General features: G+C 45.0%; 2 pseudogenes across 1 annotated transcript in view; both read right to left on the reverse strand.

The window, feature by feature from the left end:
- The window catches only part of PDXDC2P-NPIPB14P (PDXDC2P-NPIPB14P readthrough, transcribed pseudogene), an 89652-nt pseudogene that overhangs the window by 36194 nt on the left and 38360 nt on the right, over window positions 1–15098 (reverse strand). Inside the window, exons 9-14 of the transcript NR_003610.1 lie at window positions 12096–12180; window positions 11140–11188; window positions 10889–10987; window positions 9334–9459; window positions 5557–5607; window positions 1614–1677 (exon numbers count right to left, since the gene is read on the reverse strand). The product of NR_003610.1 is annotated as a PDXDC2P-NPIPB14P readthrough, transcribed pseudogene (transcript). The remainder of the gene's footprint in view (window positions 1–1613; window positions 1678–5556; window positions 5608–9333; window positions 9460–10888; window positions 10988–11139; window positions 11189–12095; window positions 12181–15098) is intronic.
- Window positions 1–15098, reverse strand: part of PDXDC2P (pyridoxal dependent decarboxylase domain containing 2, pseudogene) — a 54947-nt pseudogene that overhangs the window by 1489 nt on the left and 38360 nt on the right.

Raw genomic sequence — 15098 nt, forward strand, 5'->3', positions numbered from 1 at the left:
TGTGGATACTTAGTGGAGACCGAAATGGTGAGGAGGAGCTGGCACCAGAAGAGAGAAATGTGTGTAAGACAGAGGGAACGCCGAGTGTTAAGCCCTTGCGGTAGGAAAGGGCAGAGTGTTCTGCAGCGCGGAGAAGACTGGTCTGACTGAGGCACAACGAACAAGAGGGAGAGTGGAAGAGGGGAAGGCAGAGGTGAATTCGGGGCAGAGTGCGCAGGCCTCATGGGGCATGGGAGAGCCTGGCCTTTGTTCGACCGAAATGGTAAGATACCCAGGGGCTCTGGGCAGGGAAGTGACACTGATACAGGAGTGCTGGGAAGGGAAGAGCGTGGTCCCTTTAAATGACACAGAAGCAGGGAAGGGAAGTGCTGGGGAGAGAAAGGCGGGTCCCTGGCTAGGACTCTACCCCCACGGACCTAGGTGAGGACAAGCACTCCTGCCTTCCCCCAAATGTTGCATTTCCCAAGACCACGCTGGCCCACCACACCAGCATCCTGGGCCTATAAAAACCTGAGACCCTAGTGGGCAGACAGAAGTGGCTGGATGGCAAGAGGAACACATTGGTGGAAAAAGACACAAGCGGCTGGTCATGGAGAGCAGGCCGGCAGAAGAGCATCCCGACAGGCACCGGCAAGCCAGCAGGCCATCAACCACCGGGACGAGGCGGAGTTTGGCCAGGGCCGCTGAGCGGCCCAACTCCAAGGGAAATCTATCTCCCTTCTGGCTCCCCCATCAGGGGAGAACTACTTTCATTCAATAAAACCTTGCACTCATTCTCCAAGCCCACATGTGATCCCATTCTTCCGGTACACCAAGACAAGAACCTGGGATACATTAATCCCTCTGTCCTTGTGATAAGGAAGGGGGTCTAAGTGAGCTAAAACAAGCTGCCTACAGACGGCTAAATTAAAAGAGCACACTGTAACACATGCCCGCTGGAGCCTTAGGAGCTGTAAAACATTCACCCCTAGATGCTGCCATGGGGTCGGAGCCCCACAGTCTGCCCGTCTGTATGCTCTCCTAGAGGTTTGAGCAGCAGCGGGGCACTGAAGAAGCGAGCCACACCCCCATCACATGCCCTGCGAGGGGGACAAGGGAACCTTTCCAGTTTCAACACCATGTGACTTCCACTTATAACCCTCACTCTGCCAGGTGGAGAATGGTCTGGAATGGGCTGTGTAGAATGTATGAAAGTCAGAGGTCAGTTGAGAGGGGACAATGGCCATCCAGGTAAAAAAAGTAGTGCCCTGGACTAGACTGGTGGCACTTGGGTCATTCTTTAAAGATACAGATTCCTGGGCACAACCTATTGACTCAAAATATGTGGGAAGTAAGACCCACAAATCTTTATGTTCAAGCAACTCTTTCTTAGCCATTCCAGCACTGGTCCAGGGACTGGCATTTGGGAACCCCTGGTTTAATCACCGCAAACTATCAGCAAATTGCTAAGGCATTTCGGACTGAAGTTTTCATGAAAATTATTACATTTTTCTGAAATGCTGACTGAAGATTGTCAGCAATAAAAATATTTTGAAATATTTAAATTGAAATGGTATCAAATTCAAAGCCTTTAACACAGATATGAAAATAACCCTCTTTTAAAATTCACCCACCTGAGCCTGGTAATTCTTGGAAAAATCTGAACACCACCACTGGGGAGCTGAGCTCATCTTCCACCTGGAAGAATGGAAGTCTCATATCACCAAGTAACATTAAACTCCAGACGCCTTCAAAATGAAATGCTGAGTTCAAAAACTCGCTTAGAGATGCTCTATTTGTAAATAAACACACTAAAAAGTTCAGAGATTAATTTCAGTTGCTAGAGAAAAATCAAATGTTTAGTAAAATTTTAAAAAATAACTATGAGCCAGCCTTGAGAGTACACTGTGAATTATAAGATGTTTGACACTGGTACATTGAAATTAAAGCAGGGGGAAATTTTAATAAGGGATAAACATAGGTCTAACATTAAAGATTAAAACCAGTAAGAAGCAGTGAAACTAGACTCAGTGCGGAGAGAGCCCATGCTTTCAAGAATCCCAGAAATTATGCAGGATTTATTGAAACTTAAACTGTTTTTTTTTAGAGATGGGGTCTTGGTATGTTGTCCAGGCTGGCCTTGAACTCTTGGCCTCAATTAATCCTCCTACTTTGGCTTTCCAAGTGTTGGGATTACAGACGTGATACACCGTGCCTGGCCAACTAGAATTTTTCATACTCATAGGAAAAAAGAGGGGGGAACAACTACTTTCTTCCCCTTTGCAAAACCTTCGGAACAAGATGCAAGTCCTGCTGGTGATGTAGACAAGCACAGCTGAGAACTGGATCTGTGTATTTTCTAATATATTTAATTATTATTAAAGACAGGCCGAAGACGACTAACTTCATTAGTGGGTTTCCTAACAGTTGAAAATATCCACTGCGTTATGTATTACGATAATCCAGCAGCAAATTCCTGTTTTGCATCAAATAGTATACCCTGACTTGGTCAAGCCATGGGGTCAGGGTACCGTAAGCATCCATGTCCTTGGCAGGCTCTGTGGTACTGTAGGGGCGTGTGGGCGGCCCTGGTGGGGAAGATCTCTAAGCATCTAACAATCCCAGTACTATAGCTCTAGTAATAAAACTTATGTTCCAAGGCTCTGAGTGTGATGACTCACTGGTAGGGCCGCAACAGGAAATGCTAACTTGGAAAGACAAGAAGCAGTGGCCCAAGATCTTTTCTACTAACTTTTCAAAGGACTGTGTGGACAGTATTCATACCAAGCAGGATGTGAATTCAAATCTGCCAATTATTCACGGGGCCAGTCCTGTGCTAAGTGCCTTCACATCTATCATCTTTAACTTTCACAGAGACAAATAAAACGTGATACTTTTAAAGGTATGGCGGCGGGCGGCAGGGGGGCGATGCTTAATATTTAAATAGGGGAGCACGCCCAATAAGCAAGGAGGAACAAAAAGGCAACAAAATAATCCGCCCACTCTCCCATCCTCAGCTAGGAGATGGCAGAATGAGGTGAGTGCCAAGACTGCTATGAATATTATCATCATCTTTTCTTTCTTTGAACTCAGTGGTCTCAAATGTCAAAGTGTGTAAGAAATAGTATACAGGGTTAGAGACACTTCTGGTTCTAGTAACGTGATAGACTGAGTGAACACTGAAGTTGTCAATTCTGAATATCTGAAATACTGGATTAAATATAACCAAGAACCAAAAAAAGGTTAAACCATGGCTGGGCTCACACCCAAAAAAAGGTGAATCCACAAAGAAGAGGAAACAGAAAGACGACTGTAAGCTGAATGGCAGGGGATGGGAGCATGTCTGGGGCCTGGCACTGGGCTTTCAGGGCTAGGGTCTTGGGTGTTAATGCCCAGTGGTGAGTCTGTATAAGGCCTTTACAAAGCTTCTATAGGAAAAAACAAACAGATTTGATTTCGGATAGTAGTAAGAGTGATGAAGACGACCCAGGGGGATGGAGTGATGTCTGACGGTGGGAGATGATCTTAGGGTGGCCAGGAAAGGCCTTTCTGAAGAAGTGAGATTTGAATTAAGATCTGAAAGATAAGAAACCAGTCATGAGAAGAATTGGGACTGGGGAGGCTGGGCGCTTTGGCTCACGCCTGTAATCCCAGCACTTTGGGAGGCTGAGGCGGGTGGACCACGAGGTCAAGAGTTCAAGACCAGCCTGGCCAACATGGCGAAACCCCATCTCTACTAAAAATACAGAAATTAGCTGGACATGGTGGCATGTGCCTGTAATCCCAGCTACTCAGGAGGCTGAGGCAGGAGAACTGCTTGAACAGGGACCCAGGAGGCGGAGATTAGAGTGAACCGAGATCGCACCACTGCACTCCAGTCTGGGCTACACAGTGAGACTCTGTCTCAAAAAAAATAAACAGAAGAATTGGGGGTTGGGGGTGGGAAACAGTGTTTCCAGGCAGAGAGAACAGCACGTACAAAGGAGACTGTTGGGAGGGTTAAATGAAATAATTCATGTAAGGTACTTAGTACCACACATGAATTTCACAAGCAGCAGCTGGGATGGTGGTGATGGTGATGGTGATGGTGATGATGAGGACTCACAGGCCATAATGCCTCATGGTGTTAGCCAATTATTGTATCCTCTACTGAAAAAACAGCCATTGGAAGAAGGGACAGAGCAGGCTTTCTGCCTGGGCCAGTGTGGCCTACAGAGATGCTCCAAAACAACTGGTGATTAACTAGCACCACTGGGTCCCCCAATTTGAGAATAAGGGAGCAGCAATGACTGAGGAAAAGCCAAGTGCGCTCAACATGGCAGGGGCAGGAAAGCAGACGGGCCCAGCACCGCCTGGATTCTTAACAGCTTGCTCAATCTAGGCCATAATTTGCTTCTCTGTTTGCAATCAGAGGAGACCAACCAGCATACTTTCATTTGACAGTCAGGCTTGGAAAGAAAATGACTCAATGTCACAGGGCCACCCTGTGGCACTGCTCAGAGCAGAGCCCAGGCCTCTGAACTTAGATTCATCCCTTCCGCTTCTCCAGTGGTCCACTTCCTCATCCAAGGATAGAACCCCCACTGAGCTAGAACTCGGGTCAACTGGCTCCAGACTCCCACTTAGAAGGCAGAGTAGCCACACCCCCTTCAACCAAACCATGTATTTTTTTTTCTTCCTTGAGACAGGGTCTCTGTCACCCAGGCTGGAGTGCAGTGGCGCAATCTCGGCTCACTGCAACCTCCGCCTCCCGGGTTCAAGCAATTCTTTCACCTCAGCCGCCCCAGTAGCTGGGACTACAGGCATGTGCCACCACGCGCGGCTACTTTTTGTATTTAAACCAAACCATGTTCTAAAAGAAAAATAAACCTACTGACTTGAACCCCAAATACACTCAAATGTTAGTTTTAAACTTAAGCATACCTTGCAGAATTGTCAAAGAAACACTCAGTGAACCTATTTAAATCAGAATTTGACGTATATTTCCTGAGGTTCTAAAATACAATGAAGCAAAACACAAAAACTTTCAAACCTGAACTGATCCTCATTCTCTCCTAAGTCCTTATTTCCTTGTCTAGTTATGCCTAGGGAACAATCTGTTGGATTCACTTCAGGAAGATATCAGGAGAAGACAAGAGCAGAGCCATTTGCTTTTCTCTTTCTCCCACTTCACGCAAATGAAAACTGATGGCAGAAGGTTGCAGAAAGAGAAGCCCAAAGCATTCTGAGGCACAAAGTGAGTTTTCATTTTGGGAAGAGGAGTGTGCCCAAGGCCTTGGGCAGCTGAAGTCAATGGTGTTTATCTTTGTGCAATTCTGAACTTAAACCCAATAAATGAAGTACATGAAAAGCACCATAGGAATTAAACATTGTATGGTTCAAATTTCTTCGCTTCAGGCTCACTGTATAAATACAGGCAGTTTTTTTTTGTTTTTGTTTTTTGTTTTGTTTTTTACTGGAGCTGCCACAATTCCACTGAAATGTGGAGAAAATCATTCTAAAGTTCTAAAATCATTCTAAGTTGCTGAAGTTCAAAAAAAGTTGTATTTTGAAAACAGATGAAATTATATACCATACCAAGATTTTGATGTAATTCACTTTCTTCAAACTTTCCTGCAACCATTGACTCTGCAAATGACAAAAAATAACACATGTAATTAGACGGACATGGGATATGAAGAAGTGGTTTTCACCAGGGGCTGTGGAGGTCTGTGAACACGGATGTCAGGCAAAGTCACCTGCCACTTGGTGGTTTCTAAGTTCAGCCACCTGTTTTTGTATTTCAACATCTGGAAATATTCACCAATCTTTCATTTAAAAGTTACATGTAGTAATTCAAGAAAAGCAGTTTCTAATAAGACACGGAAATCTGTTGTATTTGCAATGTAAGTCTGTCTTTCATTCAAAAGCTACTGAGTATAAACACGTGCAAGGCACAGTACCGAACACTAGGGGAGACCAACGACAAATGAGAGGATGCAGCACGCTCAAGAGCTGGTGATAAGAGCACAGTACTGCCACTCATCACCTGCAGGACCACGGATAAGTCACTTCATCTGCCAGTCACCAGCTATGTAACCTGTCTATGCTTCAGTTCCCTCAATTATAAAACAGGGAGGACAGTATGTATCTCACATTGCTGTGAGGAGTAAATGAGTTGATATGCAATACAAGAAGTGCTTAGCAACAGGGTCTAGAATGTAGTGTCATTAGACTAATGTCTCAATCCCAGGTCCCTCATCACTAATCATATCTAACTCATGGGATTGGAGTATATTAATTCAACAGATATTCACTGAGTACTGGACAGTAGAAAGCCCCTCAAGAAATTCCTTTTTTTTTTCCTTAAAGAAAATTAATTCTGAATACACTGTCATCAGTGGAACTGACATTCTAGTGAAGTTGCAGGGATCAAATGAGATGATGCATGAAAGTACTCATGGTGCCTGACACTGAGGTGAATGCTCAATAACTACTGAAGACGAGAAAGGAGAGAGGGAGAAGAGAAGGAAGAGGAGGAGGAGGAGGCGAATGCTGATTTACGCTCTCAGGAAATGTATGCTCCACTGTGGACTATAAGGCATGGCTATATACAGATCACCATGTCTGCTAAATGTCCATGCAGTTTAACACATGCATTGATTAGCCTTTGAGTCAGCAGTAGGACAGCATTCAAATCCTCAGGAGTATACGGTTCTGCCTGCAGGAAGATGCCAGAGCTGTGCTGACCTCAAGGGTCTGGTAGTTAATGGCATCATTCTCCTGCACTCCATAGCCACAGGAAATTGAAAAAATCTCCCGAGTGCCCAAGCCATCTCTAAACTAAGTTACTAAGGCTTCTCTTTCCTAAGAACCACATCTCAAGAAATGAGCTAATAGCACAGTGAGACACTTTTCAAAAAATGCAGTGCTTTTGTAAACATAATGAGCATCAAACTTTTTTTTTTTTTTTTGAGACAGGGTCCTACTCTGTCGCCCAGGCTGGAGTGGAGTAGTGCAGTAGTGCTATTTGGGCTCACGGCAACCTTGACCTCCTGGGCTCAAGTGATCTTCCCACCTCAGCCTCCTGAGTAGCTGGGATCACAGGTGTGTGCCACTACACCTGGCTAATTTTTGTATTTTTTGTAGAGACAGGGTTTCACCACATTGCCCAGGCTGGTGTTGAACTCTGGGGTTTAAGTGATCCACCTGCCTTGGCCTCCCAAAGTGCTGGGATTATAGGCATGAGCCACTGCACCCAGCCCAGAGCATACTTAAAACTGTTGAACTATCCTAACATATGATGAACGAAGGGACTACTGCTAGAGCACTATGCAAATACTTTTCTTGTGTGTGTGTGTGTGTGTTTTAGATGGTGTCACCCAGGCTGGAGTGCAGTGGCACGATCTTGGCTTACTGCAACCTCCGCCTCCCAAGTTCAAGCAATTCTCCCTGCCTCAGCCTCCTGAGTAGCTGGGACTACAGGCGCCTGCCACCATACCTGGCTAATTTTTGTATATTTAGTAGAGACGGAGTCTCACCATGTTGGCCAGGCAGGTCTCAAACTCCTGACCTCAGGTGATCCGCGCGCCTCAGCCTCCCAAAGTGCTGGGATTACAGGCATGAGACACCACGCCCGGCCTATTTTTCTTTCTTTTTTTAAAAGACTGAGTTTCGCTCTGGCTGGAGTGCAGTGGCGCAATCTCGGCTCACTGCAAGCTCCGCCTTCTGGGTTCACGCCATTCTCCTGCCTCAGCCTCCCAAGTAGCTGGGACTATAGGCACCCGCCACCATGCCCGGCTAATTTTTGTATTTTTATTAGAGACAGGGTTTCACCGTGTTAGCCAGGATGGTCTTGATCTCCTGACCTCATGATCTGCCCACCTCGGCTTCCCAAAGTGCTGGGATCACAGGCGTGAGCCATTGCACCCGGCTACCTATGTTTCTTAAATATAGAAATGATACTTGAGGAAGTGCTAACTCCCCAAGAATATATTTAAAACAAAGATTTCAACCCATGTGCATAACTTACTATATGAACAGACACTACTGCAAGAGCTCTACCTGTATTCGTTCCTCGAGCCATCCTGGCAATCCTTGTCATATAATTTATATTTCACAGGTAAGAAAATGGAGGTGACGTGCTTCTGAGCTTAGGTAGGGCTCAGCTCTAACCCTGAGTAAACATGACCCTGTTTTTTGGCTTTTTTTTTTTTTTTTTTTTGAGACGGAGCCTCGCTCTGTCACCCAGGCTGGAGTGCAGTGGCGCGATCTCGGCTCACTGCAAGCTCTGCCTCCCGGGTTCGCACCATTCTCCGGCCTCAGCCTCCTGAGCAGCTGGGACTACAGGCGCCCGCCACCACGCCCAGCTAATTTTTTGTATTTTTAGTAGAGACGGGGTTTCACCGTGTTAGCCAGGATGGTCTTGATCTCACGACCTCGTCATCCGCCCGCTTCAGCCTCCCAAAGTGCTGGAATTACAAGTGTGAGCCACCGTGCCCAGCCTGTTTTTTTGCTTTCTAAATGCTATGATCTGAATATTTATGTCCCCGCAAAACTCCTATGTGGAAACCTAATCCCAAATGAGTTGAGGCCTTTGGGAGGTGATTAGGGCATGAGGATGGAACCCTCACAAACAGGATTAGTGACCTTCTGAAAGAGGCTCAAGGGACTGTGCTCACCCCTTCTGCCATGTGAGGCCACATGCAAGGTACTATCTATGAGGACGGGCCCTCACCAGACATGGAATCTCCTGGCACCTTGATCTGAGACTTCTCACGTCCAGAACTGTAAGCAATAAATGTCTGTTGTTTATAAATTACCCACTCTAAGGTATTTTGTTATAGAAGGCTGAATGCTCTAAAACACTGAAATATAGCATAATTATATATTTTTCACAATTAGAACACACCTAAAATGGAGAGAGAATTAGAATTGTCCCCAAGAGCCCTGCAATTTGGAAACCCAAGCCAGCTGGTTTTTAAAATATCCATGCCCTCCATAACCACCCTGTGACCTTCCTGTTCCCTCACCGTAGTCAGTCAATCAAGGGGAACACTCGCTCCCCACCCCTCCATCTTTTGCACACTTCTCCACTCCTTGGAAGTCATCTGTGACTTCTTTTCTGATCCCATGCTGACAGTGGTGTTCCTTTTCATCTGATTTCATCTGCACACAAATGCTGGGACAGACAACCCAGCACTTTCTCCCAGAACTTTGAACAAGAAATATTTACATGCAGGGCGATTAGTCTCTGGCTCATGAGACAGTCAATCCAGACAACAACACTCTTGATGGAAGGTACAGAAATGAGATGTTTTTCTGTCTCTGCTGTGGCCAAGGAGTCTTTCATTTAAATGTCAGGCTTCTACTCACCAGTTGACAGGCATGCTTGATCCTCTCCACAAACCCATCAAGTCCCAAGTATTGTAAAGATAACCACAGAGGCAGGGCACGGAGTTTGTCTGTGGGCTTATTTGATATAAGACCAGCAACTAAAGTCTAAAAAAGCCAAAAGAGGTTTATTAATCAAAGCCATTGCAATCTCATAATAGAACTAACCAGCTACCATTTGCTACCCACTTAGTGTGGGCTAGATGCCATACTAGTCACTAGGCTTGCATTATCCATGTGATCTTCCAACAACTCTGTGAGCTAAGTATTCTAGGTAACTTCACTCAGAGACCTCGGTTTGTCCAAGGGTTCACAGCTCAGGAGTGGCAAAGCCAGGAAAAGCCAGTGGAAAACCCAGATGGGTCACATCCCAGAACCTAGGAGACTCCCCACTTCGAAGGTAGCTCTGAGCATCCTCAAACACCTGGCCATTATTAACTGAGCAAGACAGCATTGTTTTAGCAGAAATCACTTAAACCTTATTTTGCACGCTGACCTATATTATCAAGAACCACATTATTATTATTTTTTGTGTGTGACAGGTTTCGTTTTCATTCTGTCACCCAGGCTGCAGTGCAGTGGTGTGATCATAGCTCAATGCAGCCTTGATCTCCAGGGCTCAATCAGCCCTCCCACATTAGCCTCATGAGTAGCTGAGACTACAGGCTCACACCACCATGCCTAGCCAATTCTTTGTTGTTGTTTTTTTTTATAGAGACGAGGTTTCACCATGTTGCCCAGGCTGGTCTCAAACTCCTAGGCTCAAGCGATCTGCCTGCCTCAACCTTCCAAAGTGCTGGGATTACAGGCATGAGCCACCACGCCTGGCCCACAACTACGATTAAAAAAAAAAAAAAAAATGTGGCCAGGTGCGATGGCTCATGCCTGTAATCCCAGCACTTTGGGAGGCCGAGGCAGGCAGATCACCTGAGATCAGGAGTTCAATATGACCAACGTGGTGAAACACTGCCTCTACTAAAAATACAAAATAAGCCGGGCGTGGTGGCGCATGCCTGTAATCCCAGCTACTTGGGAGGCTGAGGCAAGAGAATCACTTGAACCCAGGAGGTGGAGGTTGCAGTGAGCCAAGATCATCTCACCATTGCACTCCAGCCTGGGTGACAGAGCGAGACTCCATATCAAAAAAAAAAAAAAAAAAAAAGTTACAACCTATTGGACAATGTGGATCAGGAGGCTTAAAACTCCCCCACTCAGTCATTCCACATCTGGGAACCTATTCTAAGGAAATAATTAGAAACACAGAAAGACGTTCACTGCTTCATTATTTCAGTAACAAAACACTGAAAACATCCTATAAGTTCATAAATGGAGAATAATTAAATTGTGACAGAATATTATACAATCATAAAATGTCATTAAAAAAAGTCTCACCTTACAAGTTTCTCTTTAAAAAAATGAAATAGAAGTGAAATTATGGGTATTTTTCACTTTTTCCTGTATTTTTCTGGATTTTGCCCCCAAAGCCAATAATGTGTATTAGCCACACCCACTCCCTCCGCAGTGAGGGGAAACTTACCAAGGCAGGGTCGTGTTTATACAGTGTCACCGCAGGAACAGCTGGCAAACCCAGCCACGGGCCAGGAGTCATCGTCATGCTATCACATTTGGCTGCAGCCTACCAAAACAAGAACAACTCTTTGTTAGATTATCAGAATACACAAACCTAACACCCTCCTCCATTCATAAAAACTGTGAAGAGCCAGGAGGGATTGAGTGATTTTAAATTCATTCTTAAAAACACCAATATTCAGTAAATCAACAACATACCAGCACTGATGAGGAGACATAACCCAGAGCCAATGTTGCCAGATTCACACTGGAAGAAAAAACACCAGTCTAAGAACTAATTATTTAATGTTGCTTACTCACCATGTACTTAAAAAAATAAAGGCTGTGCTGTTGCAAGTTGACACTTAAGTATATTTTTAATGTTATTAGCTTTCATAACAGCAACAGAAGGTGTGCTTTATACATATGAAGGAAAATCCTGAAAATGCACTTTAATAAAAGTGTGTCTCAGGAACTATCCCCGCTCATTTAATATAATGGGAGTATTATTCTCTTTCATGGATCTTATTTTCCAGTTTTATCATTCTTTACTTGGGGATCAAAAAGAAACCTCCCTGTATGATGTGGTGGATATGGGCTACTCTGGCTGCCCACGTCCGTTCCCCCTGCTTCTCTTAATGGCCCTACAATAGCCTTCCGGGGCGCCACCTCCATTTCTTCCAGCAGAACATGAGCTTTGTGGGGAGGAGACACCACTATCTGCTCCAGAGGAGGGCAAAGAACCTGAACTATCAGAGGATTACTTCTCCCTGGCCACAGTGGCTGGTTCAATATGAGACTTCTGTTAGGACTTCCAGCTGACCACGAAGCTGGAAAGAAGGATGGAGTTTCTGCAGCTACTTTGCACTGTAACAGGAAGATCTGTCCACAGGTAGAGGAAACCAAGCCCAGTGCCTGTGACTGGGGGAGCAGAGGTGGGAGTAACACACTGGATCCTGGTTGATGTTGTGCCTGAGGCAGTCATAACACTGCTCTTTGTAGTTATGTGAGCCAGTAAGATCTCTTTGGGCTTAAGCCAATTTGGGTTATTTTGTGATCTGTGACCCGAAGAGCCCTTCGTGATAAATGTCACCAAAGTGAGAGCCTGGATGTCCAGTCCTCATGAGGACTCTGTGCAGGCCCGAATGGAGCCACCAGCCTCACCGCCGGCTTACCCCTCCACATGAAGCCATATGCCATACTGCTCACAGAGTTCTTTCAATCTCCCAATCTTGTCTGTGTGTCCTACTGCTGCCGTTCCTAGGATAAAACAAATCAGGGCATTAAAAGGAACAAATGTTTTCTAAGGCTTTATACCTTAAACACTTTTATACACATTATCGCCCTAGGAGGGAAGTGACTTATTATATCCCTATTTTATTGAGATTTTCTTTGTGGAAGGACTTAAAATCAGTGTTTGTGAGTTGACTTATTACAAGCTTTGAAGAGTATGTAATCTCTATTACATGTATCTAATTATGTCATTGAAATCTTTTATATACTTATTTTCTATCTACTTGATCTGCTGACTCATGAGAAATATATTCAAATCTCCCACCAAGATTGTGGTTTGTCAATATATACTTGTGTTACATCAGACTTTTCCTTTAGCTTTCCTTTATATATTTTAAAGTTATGTTCACAAGCATTCATAACTGTTTTTTTTTTTTTTTTTTTGAGATGGAGTCTCACACTGTCGCCCAGGCTAGAGTGCAGTGGCATGATCTCAACTCTGCAACCTCCACCTCCCAGGTTCAAGCAATTCTCCTCGCCTCAGCCTCCCAAGTAGGTGGGATTACAGGCACCGGCCACCACGCCCGGCTAATTTTTTTGTATTTTTAGTAGAGACGGGGTTTCACTACGTTGGCCAGGCTGGTCTCGAACTCCTGACCTCGTGATCCACCTGCCTCGGCCTTCCAAAGTGCTGGGATTATAAGCATGAGCCACCGTGCCCAGCAGGTATAACTGTTATTTCTTTTAGGAGATTACATCTTTCATCAATATGAAGTCTATTTTATCCCACACTAATATGGCTATGGTACTTTCATTTTGTCAGCATTTGTCCAAGATAAACTTTTCCACCTTTTTATTTTATCGTCACTTCCTGGATTATTTTGATTTAGATATGCCCTTTATAAAAATCATATAGGTGGGCTGGGCACAGTGGCTCACACCTGTAATCCCAGCACTCTGGGAGGCCCAGGCGGGTGGATCACAAGGTCAGGAGATCGAGACCATCCTGGCTAACACGGTGAAATCCTGTCTCTACTAAAAATACAAAAACAAAATTAGCAGGGTGTAGTGGTGGGTGCCTATAGTCCCAGGTACTCGGGGGGCTGAGGCGGGAGAATGGCGTGAACCCGGGAGGCAGAGCTTGCAGTGAGCTGAGATCGTGCCACTGCACTCCAGCCTGGGCAACAAAGCGAGACTCCAGCTCAAAAAACAAACAAAACATATAGATGAATTTGTTTTGTTTCCACCCAGGTTCTTTGTAATACAGAACATGCATTCTGAAGCCAGCTTAAGCATATTAAGCACTTTCAGCCGCTCCCTTGGTAATTGATTGCACTACAGATTTTGCTGGGGAGATCCCTTTTCAGAGAGAGCTTAGTTAAAACGTGGAGTCAGGCATCCCCCAACCGTCCTCAATTTCCAGTTAGCAGCAAGCCAACTAAAAAGATTTCAAACCCTCACCAACGGCCTCAACAAACACAGCTAAAGAAAGTAGTTCTTTTGTAAGGTCTATGCCAGGAAAAGGGCTGAAAACTTTTCCCCTCATACCTAAATCTACCTCAAATTAAAAAAAAAAAAAATCTTAACAGACACATTTAGTTTAGCTGAAACAAGATCAAATGTCAATGCATGGGCTGTGCCACAGGCTCTTCCAGCAAAATAAAAGCGTACTGCTGTGTTAGTGCCCGGACCGCATTCAGATTCTCTTTTCATATTTCTTGGCAACGTCTGGTGACTAACCCTTGACATGTGTCTTCTGACATCTGCAACATAATCACACTGGCAAGTCACTCAGTCACATGCAAACTGCAGCCCCTCCAGTTTATCATGTGATTGAATATGGGTGAATTTGTGTTTTTAAACAATAAGGCAGGAAGTGATGGTTTTCCTGTTGGCAATAAAGTGAATATTTATGTGGTTTTTCTATTTTGTCTTTTTTTTTTTTGAGACAGAGTCTCACCCTGTTGCCCAGGCTCACTGCAATCTCAGCCTCCTGGATTCAAGCTATTCTCCCGCCTCGGCCTCCTAAGTAGCTGGGATTACAGGTGCCTGCCACCACAACCAGCTAATTTTTATATTTTTAGTACAGACAGGGTTTCGCCATTTTGGCCAGGCTGGTCTTGAACTCCTGACCTCAGGTGATCTTCCCGCCTTGGCCTCTCAAAGTGCTGGAATTACAGGCATGAGCCACCACACCCAGCCTAAATAAGCAGTTTTATTGTAGTATGATTTTTTTTTTTTTTTTTTTTTTTTGAGACAGAGTCCCTTTCTGTCACCCAGGCTACAGTGCAGTAGTGCGATCTTGGCTCACTGCAACCTCCACCTCCCAGGTTCAAGCAATTCTCCTGCCTCAGCCTCCCAAGTAGCTAGGACTACAGGTGCACACCACCACACCTGGCTAATTTTTGCATTTTTAGTAGAGATGGGGTTTTACCACGTTGGTCAGGCTGGTCTTGAACTCCTGACCTTGTGATCTGCCTGCCTCAGCCTCCCAAAGTGCTGGGACTACAGGCATGAGCTGCCATGCTCGGCCTATTGTAGTATGATTTACATGCAACAAAACTCACTCATGTAAGTATACGGTCCAATGAGTTTTGACAAATATATAGAGCATGTAACCATCAACACAATCAAGATTCAGAATACTTCCATCAACCCCCAAATCCCATCAACCCCAATATAATTACCCTTTCCCTGACTCCTCACTGGCCCTGGAAAATCCTGATCTGCTTCTGTCACTGTAGTTTTTTGCCTTTTTTTTTTTTTTTTTTTTTTTTTGAGATAGGGTCTCACTCTGTCGCCCAGGCTGAAGTGCAGTGGCACAATCTCGGCTCATTGCAAGCTCCGCCTCCCAGGTTCACGCCATTCTCCTGCCTCAGCCTCCCGAGTAGCTGGGACTACAGGTGCCCACCACCACGCCTGGCAAATTTTATTTATTTACTTAT

Source organism: Homo sapiens, chromosome 16 (genome assembly GCF_000001405.40).
Source record: "Homo sapiens chromosome 16, GRCh38.p14 Primary Assembly".
Lineage (NCBI taxonomy): Eukaryota > Metazoa > Chordata > Mammalia > Primates > Hominidae > Homo > Homo sapiens.